The sequence below is a fragment of the Homo sapiens genome, chromosome 18 (assembly GCF_000001405.40).
Source record: "Homo sapiens chromosome 18, GRCh38.p14 Primary Assembly".
NCBI classification, from domain to species: domain Eukaryota; kingdom Metazoa; phylum Chordata; class Mammalia; order Primates; family Hominidae; genus Homo; species Homo sapiens.
Genome location: NC_000018.10, coordinates 29,237,104 through 29,263,261, shown reverse-complemented (window position 1 = coordinate 29,263,261; position 26,158 = coordinate 29,237,104). Strand labels below are relative to the sequence as shown.

The 26,158-nt window shown below is 35.3% G+C and overlaps 1 long non-coding RNA gene and 1 pseudogene across 2 annotated transcripts in view; both read left to right on the top strand.

The window, feature by feature from the left end:
- HSPA9P2 (heat shock protein family A (Hsp70) member 9 pseudogene 2) lies at positions 6,202-6,972 on the top strand (annotated as a pseudogene).
- A 948-nt stretch (positions 6,973-7,920) lies between these two features.
- LOC105372044 (uncharacterized) overlaps positions 7,921-26,158 on the top strand; it is a 74,947-nt gene continuing 56,709 nt past the window's right edge. Inside the window, exon 1 of one of the 2 annotated variants that reach the window (XR_935327.3) lies at positions 7,921-7,989. This is a non-coding gene — a long non-coding RNA (uncharacterized LOC105372044). The remainder of the gene's footprint in view (positions 7,990-26,158) is intronic. The other variant, XR_935328.2, reaches the window with a different exon arrangement.

The following is a 26,158-nucleotide window of genomic DNA, read 5'->3' as shown; positions in this document are numbered from 1 at the left end:
GAGGAAAGTTTAAAATAAAAAGATATTCTAGATTCATGGATTGAAAGAATAAATAATGTTAAAATGTTTACACTGTCCAAAGAAATCTATAGATTCAGTTAAATCCCTATCAAAATACCAGTGACATCCTTCACAGAAATAATAATTCTAAAATATACATGGAACCACAAAAGACTCAGAATAGTCAAAGCCATTCTGAGCAAAAAAAAAAAAAACAAAACTGGAGGAATCACGTTACCTGACTTTGAATTATACTGCAGAGCTATAGTAAACAAAACACCATGGTACTAGCAAAAAAACAGACTCATAGACTGATAGAACACAATAGAGAACCCCAAAATAAATCCACACATCTACAGTGAACTCATTTTTAACAAAGGTGTCAAGACCTTACATTGGGGAAGGGACAGTTTCTTCAATAAATGGTGTGAGGGAAACTAGATATTTATAGCAGAAGTATGAAACTAGACCCATATCTCTCACCATATACAAAAATCGAATTAAAATGGATTAAAGACTTAAATCTAAAACCTGAAACTATAAGAAAACATTGGGGAAACTCTCCAGGTCATTGGGTTCGGCAAAGACTTCTTGAGTAAGACCTAAAGAGCATAGGCAACTAAAGCAAAAATGGACGAATGGGATCACATAAAGCTAAAAAGCCTCTGCACAGCAAAAAAAAAAAAAAAAAAAAAAAAAAAAAAAAAAATTAGAAAGTTAAAAGAGACAACCCAAAGAATGACAGAAAATATTCACAAGCTACCTATCTGACAAGGGATTAATAACCAGAATATAAAATCACCTTAAACAACTCAATAGGAAAAAAATCAAATAATGCAATTAAAAATGGGGAAAAGATCTGAACAGTTATTTCTCAGAAGAAAACATACAAATGGCCAGCAGGTATACAAAAAAATACTCAATATCATTAATCATCAGAGACATGCAGGTTAAAACTACAATGAGATATTATTTTACCCCAGTTAAAATGGCTTTTATTCAAAAGACAGACGATAATGAGTGCTGACAAGGATGTGGAGAAAGGGGATCCCGTGTACACTGTTGGTGGGAATGTAAATTAGCACACCTACTATGGAGAACAGTACAAAAGTTCCTCAGAAAACTAGAAATAAAGCTGCCACATAATCCAGCAATCCTACTGCCAGGGTATATATTCAAAAGAAAGGAAAACAGTGGATTGAAGAGATATCTGCAATTCCATGTTTATTGCATCACTATTTACAATAGCCAAGATTTGGAATCAAATTAAGTGTCCATCAAAGGATGAATGGATAGAGAAAATATAGTACGTATACACAATGAAATATTACTCAGTCATGAAAAAGATTGAAATCCTGTCATTTGCAACAACATAAATAGAACTAGAAGACATTATGCTAAATGAAATAAGCCAGGCATAGAAAGATAAATATCTCGTGTTCTCACTAATATGTGGGAGCTAAAAATTAAAACAATTGATCTCATGGAAATAGAGAGTAGAATGATGGTTACCAGAAGCTGATAAGGGTAGTGGGGATGGAGGAACAAAGTAGGGATGGTTAATGGGTGCAAAAATATAGTTAGATAGAAAAATGCAATTTAGTATTTGATATCATAATAGGTGACTATAGACAACAGTAACTGATTTTGTGATATAAAACAACTCAGAGTGAAATAATGTTCCTAACACAATGAAATGATAAATGCTTGAGATGGTAGATATCCCAGTTAACCTGATTTGATTATTACACATTCTAGGCATGTATCAAAACATCACATGTACCCCATAAACATATACACCTATTGTGAATTCATAACTAAAAATTTAAAAAATAAAGAACATGTAGAAAGATTTAGGAAAACTATTTTTCATGAGCCAATATGGGCAATAATTAGGTAGAGAGATATGAAATACCTATGGTATGAGGGCTACGATAAAATCCACAGTTTTGTTTATTATTATTCAGTAAACATGTATTATTATTATGTAAACATGTATGTACTATTCAATAAACACATATTTAGTGTTTGTTACATGCCCAGCACTGTCGGGGAAAAAAGATTACAAAATAATTTCTTCCACTGACATGTGAAAAGATTTATCTTGCATTCAACAAGGATTTGCTGTATACTTACTATTATGTGACAGGCTGTCATGGGGAATACTACAACAAATAAAAATAGATAAAATTCCCTGCCTCATGGATTCTAGATTCTATTGGTTATGGGTTGGGGGGAGATGGTCTTTCTGGAATAAAAGATTAAAACAAACACAAGAAGAATAGAGTGGGTAGGAGAAACAGAATTATGTGTATAATGGAATTATCCCGTATGTGAGTTTGAGTTCCATTAGGTTTCTGTTAGGTATCATTAAAGAGTATTGAGGAGTACTTATGGAATAACTTAATTTTCCAGAGGTAACTCAAAGTCATGGAAAATCTGAAACTCATCATGGAAATGAGTGAATTAGACATTCATTAAAAAGAGAGATTCTTGGAAGTTGAATAGCACTTAAAAACTGGCTTGCATTCTGCAAGCATAATATGAAACTAAAAGTACTTTAATGGTTTATGTCTGTCAAAAATATCCAAGCCCTCTCATTCCAACATCTTCCCAAAGAAGCATGATCAGGTGACTCAGAAACCCAACGCTTTGATATGTGTTTCTCATCCCAGCTCGAATTTGTATGAAATTCTGACCTTTTTACACCTTCTCCTATTCTCAGAAAAGAAAGAACATTGGCTAAAAACAAAAAATTCTAATAAGTGCAAGATGGGTTGATTAAGGATATAATCTGATTTTTGTTTTATTAAATCATTTTATATTAAAGCCAAATGTGGTTTTCTGTTTTATGTTCTCCACACTTACACTGACTCTAGAAACAAAGAGCTTTATCTCTTCTAGGAAAGACAAATTCTAATTTTGGCTACCTGCTTTTTTGTTAATTTCTTTGTTTTAAAATTTGATTGCATTGATCTTCAGAACTGAAACTCATTAGAAACCATAAAGGAAGATACTACAGATTGTCCCAACTTTCAAATCTCTAGATAGCTAAATGTTACTTTAATGTTAACCATAGTGTTTCTGAATTATTGCTGTAATATTTCAGTAATGGCATAGAAGCTGTCAAGGTCAAAACAGCCTCAGAAGGGAGATGTGCAAAGAGAAAGCATTAGATCTGAAAAGCACAGTTGTAGCTGCTCTAAGGAATCTTTACTAAAGTAATGTGCCAAATGATGTCATATAGAACTGTGAGATCCCAGAAATCGCCATGTGGCAAGTACTCAGAGATGAAAGAGAGTTTTCGTTTCTGTTTCCTTTATATATTAGCATATAAAACACCTGGCACCTTTCATTCCAAGTAAAGCATATATTTAATATATATAAAGCTCAATGAAAGTCTTTTTTATCCCCTATGGAAAGATTGATTGGATTTTTCATGCACTGAACAGAACAATATGATTTGCAACATGCCTGGGGTCTGTGGGAGCACTGGACTGAGCAAATGTTGGTGAGTGCACCCTCTTCCGCCATGGGCTTCCTACCTTTTTCCATTTTGCTCTAGTTGGGAGATCCTGTTGAATGACTGGGTATATAACACCAGGAGCATGATTTGCTCATTACTCTCTCCTTCCTCACCAGGAAACAGAATGTCTTATTTAGTAGCTCTTTCTCATATACAGTTGCTCATACGTGGTCGAATTTCAGATCATGGGATAAATCTGGCACTTCCTTTCTCCTCACCACACTGTTATAAAAGGAACAAACAAACAAACAGAAAAGAAAGCAAGCCTCTTAGCAAAAAAAATTTAATACAGCCCTACTAACCACTTGCATTTGTATGGCATTCAGTTTTCTAAAAGTCTGTTACCTACATTTGTTTTCGCTCCTCCCACTACCCCTCTAAAGTCTATTACCCTCATTTCACATCTGAAAACTCTGAAGTGCAAAAAAAATTCACATACCTGATGGCAATCAGATTAACAGTTATTACACCCAGGACCCAAATCAAAACACTCTTAACTTTACATTCTGCAGTCTTTTATCTGCAAGTAGGCAGTACCATAATGCCAAACAGAAGCAGGTGAGTCAAAGCCTGGAAAATCTATGCAATGCCAGAGAAGAGTGAAGCATCCCACTGCATTTTTTTTTCTTTTTCAAAATAAATTGAATATAAGCTTAAAAACTGAGTATTTTTACTGAATTTTAATTATCATCTCTGGCGAAGTCTTTCTACATACAGGTTTCTATTTTATTTCTGTCTAGTTATGTTAATACTTCTATAGTTATGTTGTAGTTTTACAGTTACACTTACACTATTTCTTACAATTATATGAATACTACCAAAGCAAAGAACTGTCAAATCATATTGCTTATTCTTTCCTTTGCTTACACTAGACTTGAAATAAAGGCTCTTAACCTGACTCATTCATTAAAATATATTTGGAATCCAAAAATAAGGTCATGTTAATATTATGTAATTGCTAAGTTCCTTGTCATGATTTATTAAGTCAATGTATATACCTTGATGCATCAAAATTCTATTTCAATGAAATTACTGGACTATAAAATGATTGTTTTGTTTTTCTCTGTCATTTAACCAACAATAATTTTTGCAGTGTTTTCCGTGTAATTAAATGTATCTGTAAAGCATTAATGCCCTCTAAAAATTAAACATCCATAAAATTGTTGATTCAACAGTAATATAAATGTAAGATAGGAATGTGCTTAGATAGTTTGAGATGCAAAGCCTCTTTTGGGAAATAATAATTTGCCTCTAGGAGATTTTGAACTCTTAACCAAATAAGAGCTAATTATTCTAGTTGAAATGCCATTCAGAGACTTCTGTTTTGGCATAGCATTTCAAAAATTCTTGAGCAAAATATTATTCCATATGATTGTTTGTTAAGAGCAAACCTATCTCCACTTGAAAATAATCATGAACTTATTCCAAGAGGAATTTCAAATGTTAACAATTATTAATTTGAACAAAAATATCTCAAGTAAGATTAACACAAGGCTAAGTAAGCCACAGGTTAGTATTATCACAGAAATCAGAATCAGCCAAGATTTCCTAATTCCCTAAAGAGTTTTGTTTGTTTGTTGTTTTTTCAGGAAAACCAAGATTCCTTCTATGGTGGAGGGGACTGGGCACATCAATATTCTTTCACATACATTCACCTGTATAATTACAGCTTATTAGACAAATTATTCCCCCACTCCCCAAATCTGGTTACAATTGAGTATAATATTAAAATATTTACATAGTTTTTATTAATATAGTACATGAGGAAAGACAGTGTTTTCATCACACTGACTTGACTTTAGATACAAGTTCTGCCATATTTCGTTGTTTGATTGGAAGCAAACAATTTAAACTCTATTAAGCTCTGCTTATCTTTACTTAAAATAAAAAATATGGAAATAGCTGCCTCACAGATTTTACAGACTTTTAGGACGGTCAGATAAGATAGCTTATCCAAAGCATTTTAATAGTTCCTAACATACAATAAATGCTTGATAAATAGTAGCTATTATTTTGCATATTGTTATTACATGAATTTATCTAGATCACTTGCTTATAATGTCCAAATTTATTAAGGAATTAGATGATTACCATACCCATTGGACAGATTCTTTTTTAGTCATTCATTTATTTAATAAACATTTATTAAGCCTTTATTATATGTCAACACTGTACTGAGGATTCAGACATAAATAAAGCAAAATCTTTGCCTCAAGAAATTTGCAGTATTATTAGATCGATGAAAGCTCCTGTTTTTTGAGTGTATTATATGAAAAGAATTGCATTAAACACTTTGAAGACATTATATTATTTAATTATAGCTGTTGTCAAAGTCAGTATTTGAACCTCTGTTACATTCTGACTTTTAAGCCCAGATTCTCAATTGGTACAAAGCACTACTATGAAAAAGAAAACACATTTTGTCACAGGGAGAAAAGTGTAATAACTAATTCGCCTAATAAAAAATATCCACTTTTATCCTTTTTTTAGCAGTGTATTAATTTTAGCAGACAAAAAAGTGGGTTTTATTTCTTTAATTTTTTCTTTTAAAAATAATATTTTGGTCAAAATAAATTATTAAGGTCATTTGTAAATCTCTTTACAAATCAGAAAGCTCTGTGTTTCCCTTTATTTTAAATTATGATGACATAATTTGTGAAGCGTTCCACATTTTAAATTCAAGGACCAATTACCTGCTGATAAGTGCAAAAGCTAAAAGAAGAGATTTCCAAAATGAAGGGGCTTCTGGATAGAAAAGACAGCGAAACGGGAGAAAACATTGGACAAACAGCATCCTCTCTTCAGCAGGCATCACTGAAGCTCTTCGAAATGGCATACAAAAAGATGGCATCTGAGCAAGAAGGCTCTGGAAATTCTGGCACTGGGGAACAAAAGGAAGATCAAAAGGAGGAGAAACAGTAATAATAGCAGAAATTTTGAAGCCAAATTGGACAACATATGAAGCTTAGGAGCAAAGAGACTTCCTGAGCAGAAATGGGCAAACTTCAGTCTTTTTACTGTGTTTTTGCAGTGTTCTATATATAATTTCCTTAATTTGTAAATTTAGTGACCATTAGCTAGTGATCATTTTATGGAAAGTGATTCTAAAGGTATAAAGTTCACAATGTTCTATGTCCCTGGACTGTCATTTTTCAGCTGCATGTAAAAGGGGTAGGATGAATTAACTGGTCATTATAAAGATTTAACTATTGTATGCTGAAGTGGCCATATTTTCAAGGGGTGAAAACATTTCACACACAACAATGAAGGTAATCAGCCATAGACTTGGAATGAGACCACATATGGGGATGAGATCCTTCCCCAGTAACCTAGTACTGCTGTACTGGCCTATGTGTACATGGGGTCCTTCAACTGAGGCCTTGCAAGGCAAGCTGGCTGTGCCATGTTTGTAGATGGGGCAGAGGAAGCTAGAACAATGGAAAACTAAGCTATTTATGTGAGGTACAGCTATTAAAACAAGGCAGGAATGAGGCTAGGCCCTTAATTTCCCTAAGGCATACTTTTCTAGCTACCTTCTGCCCTGTGTCTGGCACCTACATCCTTGATATTTGTTCTCTTTTATCCATTCTGGGTTTTTGTTTAAAAGATGTGAAAAGCATCTAGAAAAATTATCATTATTCTAAATGTTCATTGGGAAGGTAGAAAATGTCAGTGATTTCAAATTTAGAACTTTTGATCACCTTGGGGATTCTCAGTCATTATTGACATTTTATTTGTTAGTTTTGATCCACCAAAGATCCATTTAGTCAATGTTGAATGATAAATTCTTAATGAAACTGTTTTTGATATAAACAGTGTTTAAGAAATAGAAGCATTTTTTCAAGCTAACTGGTCTGCTTCAAATTTCTATGTAATAGATTTATTGTTAATACAGAAAGATCTTTTGAATGTTCTTTCTTTTGTTAGGACAGAGTCTGTCGCCCAGGCTGGAGTACAGTGGTGCAATCTTGGCTCAATGCAACCTCCTCCTCCCTGGTTCAAGTGATCCTCCTGCCTCAGCCCTCCGAGTAGCTAGGAGTACAGGCACGTGCCACCACGCCCGGCTAATTTTTTTTTTTTGTATTTTTTTTAGTAGAGACGGGGTTTCACCGTGTTAGCCAGAATGGTCTCGAACTGCTGACCTAGTGATCTGCCCTCCTCGGCCTCCCAAAGTGCTGGGATTACAGGCGTGAGCCACCATGCCTGGCCCTCCTTTTGAATGTTCTTATTATCACCCATGAAAATGTATTTGATACTTTAAAAAATCTGCTGTACCAAATACATCTAATAAGCTTTCCTAATTTCCACCATATAATATTAATTTATATTTTCCTATTTATGACCCCACTAGGAGAAATCTATCTTATTCTTCAATGTGTTTTATTGTTCTACAGATTTCAAACATTTCATTGAAGGAGATCAAGAAAATTAATTACTGATCAAGAGCCCACCTAAACTTGCAAGTATATTCATATAGTTCATAGATTTGACATTTAAAAATACTGTAAACTGGGTAATTACTGTAAAAGGCTTAAAACAATGAACGTTTATGCTACCAAGGTTGTGGATGATAGATGTCTGAAATTAACTTGGCAGCAGGGCCATGTTCCCTCTGAAGGCTCTACAGAGTAATCTTTACTACATGCTTCTTCCAGCTTCTGGTAGACCCAGGAGTTCCTTGGCTTGTGGCAACTTAACTCCATTTTCTGCATCTTCACATCCTTTTGTTTGTGTCTGTGTCCGCTCTTCTTCTTATAAGGGCTTAGAGTTATTAACTTGGGGTCCACCCTAAATCTAGTATATCATTCATACTAATTACATTTACACATACTATTTTAAAATAAGTTCACATTCTGAAGTTCTAAGTTGACATGAATTTTGGAGGGACACTATGCAACCTGCTTGAATTCATAATTAGTAATTTATTAGAAATGGCAGAAGTTCTCTATTGAAAGTGCAGTCATTGACATGCATTTATTAAGATAACAAACTTATTAAATGTCTGGGGCATATATAATGTAGAATCTGTCTTTAAGTAACGGATACCTTGAAATTTATTCTGCAGGTTTATTACTACATGTAATAGATAAAATAGGTATGGAGTCATAAATTCATGGATACATTTATAGTCTAATAGTCTAGTAAAGAATCTAAGCATCTAAGAGCTAATTACACAAAATTATTAATTATAAATGTAATAAGTGGAACAAGGCAGAAGAACAAGTACAACGAACACATATATCAAGTTCATCTATCGGGTGGACTTGACTCAGTCTTAGAAATTGCATTCCTTGAGAAAGTAATATCTGAATTGAGATTAAAGATGACAGAATTAACTAATTGAAGAGAGGTTTTGTAAGCTTTTATTACATTATCTAAACAATCTGTGGTAGAAAAAGCAGTAATTCCAATTTTCTGAGAAGCATGTTAATTATATCTTTTTCATTTATTCACTCTCATAGTATAATCTAATATGCCCAAAGGAGAAGCAGATGTATTATCCTGTGAGTAGATCCAGCAAACTCACTTTTGCATTATATTTTAGTATTAGGATGCAACTGAACAGAAACAGTGGGAAAGTTTCAAGGTTAGAAAATCCCTAATTTGACCTATTAATTCTGGAATTCTAAACTCTTCTGAAAAATCACATTTTATAAAGGTGGACTTATAAGTAGAACTCATCCCATGTGGCACTAAGCTATAGCCCCTGGTAAATTTCAAAACACTCTCATTTGTACAGAAAAGAGTGTAAATACTATACTGCCCTAACATCATTGTCTGTAATCTACTCTGCATAATAGAGCTGCCACTGATTTAAATATATACAATTAAATGAATATATATTATATCTGTATCTTCAGTAAAGCTTTTATCACTTATAATGTGCAGTAGAACTCCTAGAAGATTACTGCTTCTGCATTTTCTTCTGTTTCCTTGAATACCTTTGGTAATTCTGGGAAAATGGGGATATCCTGAAATTTAACAGAATCTCTACAAGGCTGTTCCCAAGTTAAAAAAAAAAAAAGGACTAAATTGAAAATCTTATTGACCATAACATCCAGGTTAAATAACCATATTAAAAATGTCAAAATTTCTAAGTGAAATTGTCCCATGTGGAAACATGTCTATTTCCTGATAATATAGTTGACCGCTTTCTATGAATCCTTTCTTCAGAATACGCTCAGAACCTAGACAGAAAAGAGGGAATTTCATAAATAAGCCTCTGTAATAAACAAGCAAGTCCATAAGAGACAAAGAAGCTTAAAAGAGCAAGGTGACAATTTAATTTAATTTAATTCAACTTAATCTAATTTAATCAAATCTAATCCTATTCATCTCAACTGTACCAAATAAGACTATCCTTTACCTAGAGACAGTTTGCACCTTTTTTTGGCCTCATCAATTAAATAGTCAATTGAAGCCCTGATTCCAGTATGATTCAATCATAACACTTGATTAAAAAGACTCCAGAAAACTCCTTGTTGATTTAGGAGAGTTTTGCATACATCAGGTGGGAAACGCATGTCATTGAATGCATGATGATAGTGTTATCTTTCTACATTCAGTATTGAAAACCAATTCAAAAAAGACACTTGATTATATCCTCCACTGCTCTTAACTGGACAAATTTTACCCTTTATTTTAGAGTATAACTCATTTGCCTGGAAATGGGTGTATGTTTGCTGTATATGTCCTTACCAGTAGTATCTAAAAACCAAACTTCTTACCTGCAGATTGCAAAACTCATTTAAATTCTGAACACCAGATATACATTGGTAAGCTCGGCTTTAGAGGTACATTTGTCCTTTATCCTAGAGCCATCTGTAACCTAGACAAAACAATTATGCAGAACATTTCCATACAATTTTAAAATTGCTATAAAAATCTGATAATTTACTGGTTTCTCACTCTGTGCCTAGAACTTTTCTGAATTTTCATTATGTACCAACGCATTTAATCCTAACAATAAACCTATGAGCTATATCTTGTCACTGCAGAAAGAGTAACATGACAAATTTAAGTCATTTGCCAAATGTCACAAAACTAAAAAGTGGGAAAACACAAGCTGTTTTGTGCTTTAGACAAATCACTAATTAATATGTTCATAAATTGGCGGGCATAAAAAAAGTATTGTTTCTTCTATCTTCATTTTATATTCTCACTCCTTCAATCTTCTAAAAGACCTTGCTAGGCATTCTTTGTTTCTCTCACATAAAACTTCTTTTAATTGCATTCTTTCCATTAATATTTAAATATGCTCCAATCTCCTACCTTACAACAAACAATACTAAATATAAAAATACATTAATGCCCTACCTCAGGATTTATTTTTCTTTAGTACAATCTCTTTCTAGGAAATTTTACATTATTATAAAGCTTCCATTATCATTATAACTCTAAATTTATATCTTCAGTCCTTAACTCTTCACACCATGTTACCATCATTCCTCACCTCCTAGGCCTCCCACTACAAGTAATGGCTTCTTCATCCATTCATTCGGTAAGCCAGAAGCCTAGAAGTCACGCTGCCTTACAAACCTCTCTCCGATTCCATCACAATGTCTTATAACTTCTACCTTCTAATTTTCAAGTATATCCATTTATATCACATGACCCTAGATCAAGCTATAATTTTTTTTCTAATTGAAAAGAAATGCTCTAAAAAAAAATCCCTTCTTACATTTTTGCTGTGCTATAATTTATTCTCCACTCTGTAACCAGGGTGATTATTTCAAAAGAGACATATAACAAGGACATTTTACCAATTAAGTCTCTTTCAATAGCTTCAAATGTGTCCTATGATAAAAATCCTTAGCCTGACCACAAAGGTTTGAGTGGTCTGGTGCCTTACCACTGCCTGACCACACTGTAGGAGTCTGGCCTGTCCATCTCTGCATGTCAGCTTCAACTCCCTTCCTCAGTTCCTTGCTCCTTCATATTAGAAACTCTGGACCTGCTTCTCCCTCTATGCAGAATTTTCCCATATTGCACCCCAATTTTAACTTCGAATTGAGTTTCATTTCCTCAGAGAAATCACAACCTGAGCCCTCAGAGTAAATTAGATCCCTTTAACATCGTTTAGAAAGGCTATCTATGTTTCTTTTTATAATCCTGATCAGTTCTTTTGACACATTAATATTTACGATTATTATTATGTGTCTCCCTAACTAGAAATTAAACTATGTGAAGACAGCTAAAATGTCTTTTTTTTAAATGCCCATATCTCTATCATTTGACATGCAAATTGCACTTGGTAGATGCTTGATACATATTTGCTGTATAAATGAATAGAAAAAAATGAAGTTAAAGGTTTTTACTTTCCAGTGCTTTTATGGATTTTCCATCATAAATCTTATGTATTATCAGTTTTCTTTCAGTTTAAAATAACTTTTTAGGAAGAATTGCTATTTCTTTAGCTAAAATGTTAACTTGGGGGGGTCTTAGAAAAGAACAGCTGTTCCAAAGTATAAAATAGAACTCAGAAACTGAAAAGAATTTTCAAGGAATTTAGTCTATTATGCCTCCACTTTCTTGGCTTGAGAACAAAATTATTCTTACCTAAAACTTACTGGCACTAGGATTTAATGGGCATAATGCATGTGACAGTCCTTCTCAGGAAATGAACACAAAGAAAATGAAAAAGAGTGATTGACAGAAACATAAATACAATAGAGAATAAACTGGGAAAGCACATGTCTGGATTACTATCTGACACTAAAAGCTATTAAAGGTGACAATAGCTTCATTATTTTCTACACTGTCTTTTATGCAAAACATACTCAAAGTGACCTAGAGTGACCTCTTGCCAAATGGCACAGCTTGGGGGTTTTCAGTGCATGTTGGATTGACACTATATTTTATTCATTTTTGCACTGACAGTGGCAGGAGTATCTAATAATATAAAGACCAGAGAATCTGCCTGTATGATATTCAGGTCACTTCTTCCAGGTCCTTTCTATTCGAGACAACTGTGATGTTGCCTGTGCAAAAGTAGGAATTGAGGACAAGAGGTGAGGTGATGAAGCAGGAGCTTCAACACTTTTCTAGAACCAACTTCTTAGGCCTATGTTAAGTAAATAGTCAATAATCATCATGCAGGATGTGAATATGACTATTGCATTAGTGTGTTTTCACACTGTTGATAAAGACATACCGGAGACTGGGAAGAAAAAGAAGTTTAATTGGACTTAACAGTTTCAATGGCTAGGGAGACCTCAGAATCGTGGCAGGAGGCAAAATGCCCTTCTTACATTGTGGTGGTAAGAGAAAAATGAGGAAGAAGCAAAAGCGGAAACCCCTGATTAACGCATCTGATGTTGTGAGACTTATTCACTACCATGAGAATAACATAGAAAGGACCAGCCCCCATTATTCAATTACCTCCTCCTAGATCCCTCCCATAACATGTGGGAATTCTGGGAGATACTATTCAGGTTGAGATTTGAATGGGGACACAGTCAAACCATGTCAATTATATAATACTTTTTGAATAATAGATCATCCAGTCAAAGAAAATGAACACAAAGGAAAAGGGAACATGCAATTAAAATACTTTCTACAGTGCAGTCTTTCTCCTCCAACTATATATTTTTCTTTACGGTTTTTGGCTATTAATCCTGACCTTCCTGTTTGCCATGTGAAGTCAAGTTGCCCCAGTGATGGAGCTCTGCCAGTTATGGGACTTTCAATCCTGTTCATGCTGCCGTGCTTTCTTTTACTACTAATACTGCTAGGGCTTGTCTATTTTTAGAAGGAGATAAATGCACACAATTTGTCACAGTGCATTCTGTAATGCCACATAGATTTGAGGAACCAATGGTCAGAGTCATATAAAGCTTTAATATAAATATATCCTCAGAGCTAATAATTGACTAAAACTATTACAGACGTTTAGACCTACCTTCTTCCCAGCCATAAGACAGGAAGGATTCAAATGACTATAAGAAAGTGCTGACCCCATAGTCATTGCTTTCTAAAGATGGAAAATCAAGGTCATTTTTGGAGTTTTCTGGTTCTTTATCACAATAGTTTTTACCCTGGCCAACATGGTGCAACCCCATCTCTACTAAAAAAAAAATAGAAAAATTAGCCGGGAGTGATGGTGGGCACCTGTAATCCCAGCTACTTGGGAGGCTGAGGCAGGAGAATTGCTTGAACCCGAGAGGTGAGTTTGCAGTGAGCCAAGATCGCGCCACTGCACTCCAGTCTGGGCGACAGAATGAGACTCTGTCTCAATAATAATAATAATAATAATAACAATAATAATGAATTGGACAACAACATGATCAAACTGATACAGACATCTTTAAGACTCATATGAATGAAATCTTTTGAGTCCATATGTTATTAAAATTGTTCCTACCTACTTAATGCAAATAAGAAAATATAAAATGAGAATTAAGTGCATCTAAATAAATTAGGTCAAAATGATGGAAACACTCTTATTAAAAGCTCACTGTATAAGCAGGAACACCTGGAATGGGAAATGTAGTTTGAGTCATAGGGTATTACTATGTCATAGGCATAGGCAATAATACCTCAGTAGTATTACTAGTCAGAGGAAAGTAAGGAAAAAAGTGTTTCTGGCCATTTCAAGTAGGCATAAAAGCTGCTGAATATATAAAGTGCAAAAACACCCTAGCAGCCAAAAGAGAGAATAACTGAACAAGAGGATGACTTAATCTCTATTGTGAATGCATTACCAATGTGATTTGCAGAAGGTTAGAGAAACAAAGGGATACACAAAGTGGGAACAATGCCTGCGGGATCAGCAGAAAAAATCAATAACAATTTGGTGTGTGTACTATGGGAGAAAACATCTCTCCGTTTTGTTATTAAAATGGGAATAGGTTAAACAGGAGACCCAGGACTTTGTTTAGGTGTGATAGATGGCATGCTCTCAGTAAGTTTATTTAGTTTCTAAGATTAAACTCGTCTGCAGTTCTTGGGAAGAGAGAATGGAGTGGTTGAGCTTTTATGGTGTTCTTAATACTTCCTTTTTTAGGGCAGTTTTTTTCTTAAATACTTACTATAATATTACCAAATAGGAAATCTGATTTAAAAACACACATTTGACTTATGACAGTAAAAATTAACATAGAACAGTTCATGTGCATTAATATTTGAAAAAATAAATCTATGGCCCTCACAAAAGCAGATGGCTACATTATATTCACTATGTCACAGGAGTGGGGTGCTAGATTATAAAAAAAAAAAAGACATCAATATAATTAATTGGATGTTATAGTGAAACAAGAAAGTAAAACAATCAGCATCTTAAATATAATAAATCTTGTAGGATAGAATTCCAGAGCCATTGAGAGGAAATATATTATGATTCCTTGTTATCTATAAATCACCAGACAAAAGATAATGGGAAGCACAGAAAACATTTTATATTTCCACTATAGCCTGGTTTTCACCCTTTATATCAGGACATTCAAATGGGTATTTATGTATAATCACCTTATTGTACTGTGAGAAGACAGTATTATATAAACTGGTAAATTCTTGTTTTCTTCAAAAACACCATTGTCATATAATTTTTGTATATATTGTAATTTGAACACAAGATAAGCTGGCTTTCCATGAATAATTCAGTTTTATTAATTCATCTGTATAAAAGAGAGTAAATTACCTAACATGTACAAGTTAATATGATGGAACACCTTTATATTATTTAACATTCAATTTCTATTTTATTGCCACAAAATGCATGCTGAAAATAAAACATGGTCCTGTATGAAGCAATGTCACTGTAACATAAGCATTTCCATAGAGGTATCGACATGTTATTAAAAAACAAATAATAGAGGAGCCTTTGTTTTCAAGACTGGGGTAAAATCTTGTATCTTGAGTTTGTTCATGTAATTTTTTACTAAGTTTATTTATTCAGTAAAGTTATATTTATTGGAATACTACTCTGTACTAAACATAGTGTTCAGCTTGTAGTTGAACATATAAACCTGAAGCTCAGGAAAGATGTCTTGGCTGGAGATACAGATTTCAAAGTTATCAGCCTATAAATTCTAATTTAAACTATGGGAAAAGATAAGGTGATCTAGAAAGAGCAGGCAGAATAAGGCGAAAGAAGCAGTGTAATAGTGAAACATTGTAGAACACTTACATTTTGGGGTCTAGAAAAAGAAGATTCCATAGGTGTTATGAGAAATGACAAGAAGGTGGAAAATAAGTAGAATGATTGCATGAGAACTGAGTGTCCAGTGAGTACGAACGAAACAATTTGTGGAAGCGTCAGTCTGTAAGGATGCATGATTTTCTCTAGCAACGTTTAACATTATGAGGAGTGGAGGTAGATGGCTTGATTGAGCAAATTATAAGGGTTTTTATAATGCTTATGCCAAAAACCATATAAATGAGGAGGAAAAAACATCCAAACAATCAAATCAAACATGGAAACTGAAAATAAAATGTTGATATGATTAACCACTGATGCTGGAGTTCATAGGAAATAAACTGAAACAATGGGAATAGGAGAAAAGTTAGTGAGAAATTGAATCTCCAAAGACATGATAAAGATAAAATACTATATAGTAAAAGTAATGAAGTAAAAAGCTGAAATGAATGGAGACTGTGATTAGCAATTAGTATTTGGAACTTATTTTATTAGAGGTAATAAAATTATAAGTTATGATAAAATCCAGATTGTGGTCATGGGAAAGGGTGTCTAAAGTAGAGTGGAAGTTGAAAGAACTGAGATCCAAGAAGTCAAACATTTGTGAAAACAAGGCGCCTAGTGGGCTAGCCACATATTCTTTGCAGTCATTATGGAGGCTATCAGTATTTGGAATAAAAAGAAATACTTTCAGCCATGTTCCAAAAGGGCGGCAGCAGAAAACAGTATAAAAGGATAATAAGTAGAAGCAAAACTTCAAAAACAGGAGAGCTTTCCCAGGAGTTCAACAGCAATAATCAGGAATTAGCAATGAGAATTTCAAAAAATGCAGATTGCGGCGGGGCGCGGTGGCTCACGCCTGTAATCCCAGCACTTTGGGAGGCCGAGATGCGCGGATCACGAGGTCAGGAGATTGAGACCATCATGGCTAACACGGTGAAACCCCGTCTCTACTAAAAATACAAAAAAAAATTAGCCAGGCGTGGTGGCGGGCGCCTGTAGTCCCAGCTACTCAGGAGGCTGAGGCAGGAGAATGGCGTGAACCCGGGAGGCGGAGCTTGCAGTGAGCCGAGATCACGCCACTGCACTCTAGCCTGGGAGACTGAGCGAGACTCCGTTTAAAAAAAATAAAAATGCAGATTCCATCTATGTAAATAAAATGTGTACACCAGTTTGAAAATAAAATGTGCACACCAAACTGTGCACAGCGGTTTGTCCTCCACAGTAAATGGAGTGGAAATGTATGAAGGTTATCCTCTGCAGGACGAACTGGTGTGCACAGGAGAGTGTCAGATTGTAGTTGAGTCCAAATGTTGGCAAACATATTTGAATGAAAATTTAAGCATGTAGTTAAAGGACTGGTCTGACATGAAAAAGTGATCAGTGGGGAGGAAATGCAGAGTAAGTTAGGGCTAAGATATACGTGGAAAGTTGGCCAACTTACCTAAATTTTACATGTAGCTATGAATAGCATATTTGATGGATGAATAGCATTATTCATAAGTTGTAGCAACAATCAGGCTGGAAAAGGTAGCAAAGTCCAAACAGTGAAATTTAATTGACTACATATATAAGTTTTTATATTAGCATTGAAAAATTTGGAAAGAAATTAAACATTTTGCTCAAATATGTAGTATAATCAGATTTGGGTTTAAAATGTTTTTCCAACCTCAGTGAGAATAGACTGGGGGCAAATGACACTTGAGGAAGGGAGAACAATTATCTATGTATCACCATTCTCAGCCACCTCAACTACCCTGCTGTGTCACAGTCTGGAAACCTAAAAACTATTTTCCAGAATCCTTTGCCCACAGAGTTCTAGGTTATATTGTAAAAGTGAAGGTAATGGTTTATAACGTAAAGCCAGAAGGGAACAACAACCAATTCCCTTTCCTTAGAGGTTTCAAGGAAGTGAGTGAAAAGGCTACATATCTGAAATCTCATCAATTTCCTAGAAAACACCTTCGATTCTCAAGCTTCAGTACTCCAAGAGTCTAAGATCATCAACAACAATTTCTTGCAATGCTTGCCCTCCTAATTGCATAAAATCCCTGGCCTGTGTTCTACCAGCCCTTTAGATATGTGTATCTAATTCCCTGTATTAAATATTTACCACTGAGAGATCTAGAGTGATTTCTGTGTCTTCCAACCAAACTTGACTGATGTAAAATTTTGTAACATAAATGATTCCGAGGTGGGAAATAAATTGGTTATCTAACTGGTTTCATTTGAAAACAGTAATAACACCACTGCTAATATAAAAGGGATACTAGTAGCCTCCAACATGTCTGTAGTTGCCTGGAAAGAAATATTTCTTAAGGGTATGGCATTGGGAAACCATGATGGTTATTGAGATAGAACTTAGTTGAAATAAGGCCTGTAAGTACTATGGATGGCTACTCTGACCATAGTTAGCTTCTGAAAAAAGTTACCAATTAAAGGCTTTAAATTTTTGACTCAAGATAAAGCTAAAAAAACAAATGTTTCTACTTGTGCTTTCAATGAATATCTACTCAATGTTAAAAATAAGACAAAAGCTAGCCTTTTGGGGTCCAAAATTACAGTTAGTTGATATTCACAAATTCTATAGAGCTATTATGTGAAACTTAGAGCATAAATTGTGGCAAAAAAAGTGATACAGAAATTTCGAATGGTGATAACTAGTGAATTCTGGTGATTCTGAATACTTGGGACTTTTGAATTTCAGTCTTTCTTTCCTGTCAGCAAAATTATCTGTTTGAGATTAGCTTCTTCTCGTTAGAAGACCCTGTGGTGAGATAATTACCTTTAAAATGGTTTCTGATTCACTCAACACCCAAATTTCAGAACCTATAGACTCATAAACAAAAGTCAAATCCCAGCTTATTTAAAAAAAAATAACAGATTTTCCCTCCAGTTTACTCTGTAAGTAGAAAGCTTATAAACTAAAATAATTGTAATACTTTTGCCAATATATATCAAAAGAAAATTAAAGAATATGTGAAGAAATTGATTTTGAAGGCGTTATACCAGGCAAGAAGAAGCATAGCAATAAAATGCAGGGATGTTGATAAATAAGACATATCACTTGTCCACAGTGTTAATTATGCTGATTGGATGAGGTACAGAAGATGTAACAAGTGCCCTGCCCATTTTTTGAGGAAACATGCTTATCATCACAAAAATTCCAAATCTGGGTCATGCCACACTGATGATGTTTTCAGTCATCTAAGGCTTGTCAAAATGTCCCTTTAAAAATAAATGACAACTTACTGCACTTATGACCTATGCCACTAAAAAAGAGACAAAACTCTTGTATTAGTCTGTTTTCACCCTGCTACAAAAAACTATCTGAGTCTGGGTAATTTATGAAGAAAAGAGGTTTAACTTACTCACAGTTCTTCAGGCTGAACAGGAAGCATGATTGGGAGACCTCGAGAAACTTAAAATTACTGCAGAAGGTGAAGGGGAGGCAAGTACCTTCTCCACATGGTGTTAGGAGAGAGAGACTGAGGGGGAAGTGCCACACACTTTTAAACCATCAGATCTTGTGACAACTCACTCACTGTCACATTAATCATGCTCTGTTCTAACACTATAGATCACTTTTTAACCTTCAGTTAATACTTTCTGCTTGCTCTGCACTTATTTAAGTTCTTGGTTTAGACAAAGCCTAGGGGAATTCCATCCCCATGATCAAATCACCTCTCACCAGCTCCCTCCCTCCATATGAGGGGACTGCAATTCCACATGAGATTTGGGTGGGGACACAGAGCCAAACCATATCAACTCTTGTTGAGCCTCCTGGGATTCTGGAGCCAACACATTTCACACTTGAGCATGCATGCTACTTCTAACCATTTACCACAAAGCCCATAGCCATAGAATTTGAGTGATGATCAGAGTATGTAAATATTCTGCAGACAGTGGAGACTTCAGCAAAAGATGCTCAGCCAATTGAAACTTGTCAAATGGAAGATGCAATGATGCTCAAAGTGTTTATCACCATACAGGATGCAATATTCAATCACCATTTGTTTGAAGAAAAGCCATTCTCTCTTCCACAAACAACTATTTTCACTTTAAGAAACAAACTCTTGGCTTGCTATTCGATTTGTACATACTAACTAACATTATATTCTTCTCTTCTTCCCACATTATTTTATATGAGGCATTGTATAATACTTTTTTCTTAGAGTTCTCATTTTTTCTTTAAGTTTCAGGATGTAAAGGTACTTGGTTAATGAACTGGAAGTGTAATAATTAATATTTAATAAATATTGCACAGAGGTGGTTAGAGAGTTTGATGAGAGTCTGTATCTCTTCTTTTTAGGGGTGCACATATCTGTCCTTGTATAAGACTGTTAGACCCTCCCAAAAAAAATGACAAAAACAATCAAACATTATGTTAGGTCGTGTCTTAGTCGGCTTGGGCTTTTATAATAAGATAAAATAAACTTTTTTTTTTTCTTCTTTTCTGAGACGGAGTCTCGCTCTGTCGCCCAGGCTGGAGTGCAGTGGCGCAATCTCGGCTCACTGCAAGCTCCGCCTCCCGGGATCACGCCATTCTCCTGCCTCTGCCTCCTGAGTAGCTGGGACTACAAGCGCCCACCACCATACCCGGCTAATTTTTTTTTTTTTTTTTTTTTTTTTGTATTTTTAGTAGAGATGGGGTTTCACCATGTTAGCCTGAATGGTCTCGATCTCCTGACCTGACCTCGTGATCCGCCCGCCTCAGCCTCCCAAAGTGCTGGGATTACAGGCGTGAGCCACCGCGCCCGACCAAGATAGCATAAATTTTGTAGCTCCCAATGGCCCACCTCTAAATACCATTACTTTGGGGATTAAATTTCAATATAGGAATTTTTCGGGGACCCATACATTCAGCCCATAGCATAGGACTACCTGCTATTGCTTTTATCATTAAGAGTTTAGGTATAAAATAAGTATTTCTTAAATGTCAGGAATTCAAGGATGAGAACTGAATCATATATGGTTTGTGGATATTCAACACTATCCCTATCATTCAAAACTCTCCTTGTATAGCACACATTAGAAATACTAAACACTATAATTTTTAGATTCTTGTCATCAGAATTTCAGTTTAGATTTTGATAATAATAGGCATTTGTATGAAATTACATAGGTAGAAAGCAGAAGTAATTTTTTTCTCTTCCAATAGTGGCTGATGTATGTGTAGCCAGGCAATAGAGCAACTTGCAGAGGCACCCTGGATATTTTCTTCAAATCACCTTGTTCAGTTCAGCAGACAGCTGAGCTCATAGACAGTCTGTACTTTCTCATTCCCTAAAGCCAGCGGTGGTTCCCTCTGACCTTTACTCACCCAGCCTTTCCAATGGTTTTGTAAGAATCTATTTTCCTGTATTAAAGTTTATCTACCAAGATATTTAGATTCCCAATTAAATTCTTACTCATATAATGTAGTAATATGGAAGTAAAAAGGAAACACAAATTAATCTTAACCAAGAGGGAAATAGGTGAATTTTTGCCTACAAATTGTGATACTTCCTTCTGACCTAATATTTAATAATTATGATTTACTATGCTCATTCAATAAAAACACAGAACAAGTGAATAATATAGTTACTTTTGTTTTTGCTAACTCCACATTTGTTCTGAGATTAAATGAAATGCTACTAAGCCAGGTAGGCAAACAAGAAACAAACTGTTTTTGAGCAACTGCTGTAAACACTTTAAAACCATATTGGTCAGGCACCAATTAAGTGATATACAATAATTGTCACAAATCATTCACAACAATCTTTCTGAAACTCAGTTTTCTTATAAGTGAAATAAAAGTAAAATATCTCACAGAGAAGTAGATAGAAATAAGTGCAAGAATATATGCTAACATTGTCAACAGTAATTTGTGGTTCAATTGTTAGTTACCATTTTTGTTACTACTGTAGTGTTGATTTATAATACCTTTCTAAGATTTTAATCATCATTTAAACAGAAATAAGAAAATCTTATTTTCTAGTGATTACTATAAATCTGCCATAATTAAAAGAAAAATGAGGAAGACTTGTTTAGCAGTCTTTCTGAGAAGAGTCTGATTAAAGAAATTCTATTAGTTCCACTGTTGGCAAATAAGAGGTTTCTGACAATGTATTCTGTATTTGTTTCCCAGTGGTTAATAACTCACCACAACCACCACAAGATGCCAGTGACGGTTCCTCTGGTCTCATATTCTCTCCACCTGACTCTTAAAAAGGCCAGCCAAATGGACCAGCCAAATATGACTGGAGCGAAAACTAATTTTACTAAATGCACTCACATTACATTCATGACCGCTCATCTCAAATGGATCCTGGATGTTGCTGAACTTTCCTATTACATTTCTCTAATCTACTTATCCTCTTCACTGGCTTTCTACACTTTCTCCTCTCTTGAAATTTTGCCACCATCTCCTTTATTCTTGAAAGCTTAGATCCTATTTACCTTTAAAATAATAAAAATAAGTCTGCTGTAATAGCCTCAATTCTTATCTACCTATTTTTCACACTACCCACAGTTGCAATTTTAACACTGTTGGTGCAACTGTTGCCCTTCTTGTCCCTCCACCCCCAACCACTCAACTGGAAGCTCCTGGAGGCATGAACTCTTTCTCACTGTGGCAACTCCAGCATTTAACTCAGACTATCTGCTCTCTGTGCAGGTAGGTGTTCAGTAAACATTGATTGAAAACAAACGACAAAAAAAGGAGCTTCAACTCAGTACTTTAAAAGCTAAGAAAAGTCAGTTAAGAGAATAAATAGTAAAAACAAAATTTTATAAACAAAAACCAAAAGAGTAAAAATAAAATCTGAGAATTCCCACTGGCTCTCACCACATCTGTACTTCTACGGGAGGCCTCCCTAATCTCTGTACCAAATACTATATCATTTGACCTCAGTGACTGGAATCTAGTAATTTTACTTTTAATTCTATAAAAATTAATTTATCTTTCCTTACTGGATCATTCGTATCAGTATACAAACATGCTTTTTTTCTTCAATGGTTAAAAAACACTTCCAATTTCAATTCATCTAAGGTTAACCACACCATTTCTTTGATCCTCAGTAAACTCTTAATGAGATTGACAGTGTCAGCTATCTTCAAGTTCCCTCTTCTCATTCTATGCTTCCAGATAGGTGCAGTGGCTCACGCCTGTAAGCCAAGCATTTTGGGAGGCTGAGGCAGGAGGATCACTTGGGCCCATGAGTTTGAGACTAGTTTGAGCAACATGACAAAACCCCATCTCAACAACAACAACAACAACAAATATTAGTCAGGAGTGGTGGCAAACACCTGTAGTCCCAGCTACTTGGGAGGCTGAGATGGAAGGATTACTTGAACCCAGGAGGCAGAGGTTGCAGTGAGCCATGACCATACCACTGCACTCCTGCAAGACTCTCCTAAAATAAATAAATAAATAAATAAATAAATAAATAAATAAATAAACTTTTTCCATGAATGTTCACCTTCAACCACTCCATCAAAAGGCATTTTGTCACATCACCAATGTCTTCACTTTGTTAAATCCAAGGATTAATTCTCAGTTCTGATCAGTTTAGATATGCTTAGCCAGTCCTTCATTCTACAACCCATTACTTGGATTCTAGGGCCTCTTGTTCCACCAGGTTTCTTCCTACCACATTCACCATTTTTTTATTTTTTTGCAGTTGCATTTTCATTTTGCTGACTTCTTAATACTGAACCTTAGTCTTAGACCCTGTATTAGTTTTCTAGAGCTGTTGCAACAAAGTACCACAAACTGAGTTGCTAAAACAACAGAAATTTATTATCTCACAGTTCAAGAGACTAGAACCTCAAGATCAAGGTATTGGCCGGGTTTGTTCCTTCTGGGAACTGTGAAGGAAAATTGATCCCAACTTCTCATAGAGGTTGGTGGTTTGCTGGCAATCTCTGCTGTTCCTAATCTCTACTTTCCTGTTCACATGGCATTCTCCCTGTGTCATGTCTTTGTCCAGATGTCCACTTTTTATAATTACACCAATCATATTGGACTATGACCCACCCTATCCTAGTATGACTTCACCTTGATTAATTATATCTACACTGAATCCATTTCTAAATAAAGTCACATTCTGAAATACTAGGGATTAATACTTTAACATGTATTTGAGGGAACATAATTCAACACATAATAAACTATTTATCTTCCCTTCCCTAACACACACTGTTGTATATGTCATCTAGATTTATAGTTTTACATTATGTCTATACACTGAAGGTGCCCAAATTTATGCTCTGGACTAAACTTCTTCCCTGAATTCCAGATTTGAATATTTTCTTAGTCCATTTGTGTTGCTATAAAGGAATAGCTGAGACTGGGTAATTGATATATAAAATAAGTTTATTTGGCTCACAATTTTGCAAGCTGTACAGGAAGCACAATGCCCATATCTGTGTCTGGTGAGCGCCTGAGGAAGCCTACAATCATGGTGGAAGGGAAGGGGAGCCAGCGTGTCACATGGTGAGAGAGGGAGCAAGAGAGAGAGGGAGGAAGTGCCAGGCTCTTTAAAACAACCAGAGGCTGGGTATGGTGGCTCACGCCTGTAACCCCAGCACTTTGGAAGGCCGATGTGGGGGGAACACTTGAGGCCAGGAGTTCAATACAACCCTAGACAACATGATGGAACCTCGTCTACTAAAAATACAAAAATTAGCTGGGTATAGTGGTACATGCCTGTAACCCAAGCCACTCTGGAGGCTGAGGCAGGAGAATCGCTTGAAACTGGGAGGCAGAGGTTGCAGTGAGCTGAGATGGTGTCACTGCACTCCAGCCTGGGCAGCAAAGCAAAACTCCATCTCAAAATAATTAATTAATTAATTTTAAAAAATAGCCATGACTCAGGTGGGAGGCTACCAAGCCATGACACAAACACCTCCCTCCAGGCTCCACTTCCAACACTGGGGATTACATTTCATCAAGGGATTTGGAGGAGAAAAACATCCAAATCATATGATATATCCAAATATATCTTCTACTTTGGTATATAACTGAAATTCAAACAAGCAAACAGTCTTGTAAAATGAACTCTCACCTAATCCTAAGTGTGGACAATAACATAAACTTAATAAGCACCACAAATATGCCCTACACATCAATATACTCTTCATCCCCTAGGGGTAAGCAACAGTCTTTAACACCATTCATCCTTTGCTTTTTAAACTAAGCATACCTAAAAAATATAGTTTAATATTGCTGTTTTTGAATTGTATCTAGATGAAATTATACATGATTTATTCTACTGTGCCTCAGTTCTTTTGTTCAAAATTGTATGGGTAAGATTTGTTCATGTTGTTACTTTTCATTGTGTTTTATTCATTGCTAGAATACTACTTCATAGAAAGAATATCTCATCATTTTTTATTCATAATATTATGGTAAACTTTGGGGCTGTCTTCATTTTTTTATTGTAAACATTAATGTAACAGACATTTTTGAACATGTATCTCTGTGCAAAAAAGCATGAATTTCTATGGGCTGTAGGCATAGGAATAGCATTACAGTGTCATAGGTATGTACATCTGCACATTCACTCAATACTATTGCTTTAATTTGGATATCTGACCCTCCAAATCTCACGTTGAAATTCGATCCCCAATGTTGGAAGTGGGGTCTAATGGGGACAGATCCTTCATAAATGTTTTGGTGTCCTCCTTGTGGTAATGAGTTAGTTTTCATTCTATTAGTTTCTACAAGAACTGGTTGTTAAAAAGAACCCAGCACCTCCCTCCCCTCACTGTCTTGTTTCCTTTCTCACTATGCGATCCCCTTCATATTCTGTCACAAATGGAAGCTTTCTGAGGCCCTCATCAGAAACAGGTGTTGCCACCATGCTTCTCTTTTTGAGACGGAGTCTCGCTCTGTCACCCAGGCTGGAGTGCAGTGGCACTATCTCGGCTCACTGCAACCTCTGCCTCCTGGGTTCAAGCGAGTCTCTTGCCTTGGCCTCACAAGTAGCTGGGATTACAGGAACACACCACCACGCCTGGCTAATTTTTTATATTTTTAGTAGAAACGGGGTTTCACCATGTTAGCCAGGATGGTCTTGATCTCCTGACTGGTGATCTGCCCACCTCGGCCTCCCAAGCCACCATCCTTCTTGTAGAGCCTGAGGAACTGTGGGACAAATAAACCTCTTTTCTTTATAAAGTCTCAAGTAAGCCACCATCCTTCTTGTAGAGCCTGAGGAACTGTGGGACAAATAAACCTCTTTTCTTTATAAAGTCTCAAGTATTCCTTTACAGAAACATTAAATTAAATAAGACAACCATAAAATATTTTTCAAAGTTATTTTATTAAAATTTGGTCAAGAAAACTGAAGCCACTCTCTATATTCCACATATTAAATGTTGATATCCTAAAAACTGCTTTTTTTTGTATCAATAGTAGAAATAATGAGGAAACTAAAATGTCTGCTCAACCACCCACCCCCATCGAACCCTCATGCTAAGTCAGTTCAGCAAAATCCAGGATATCAAAT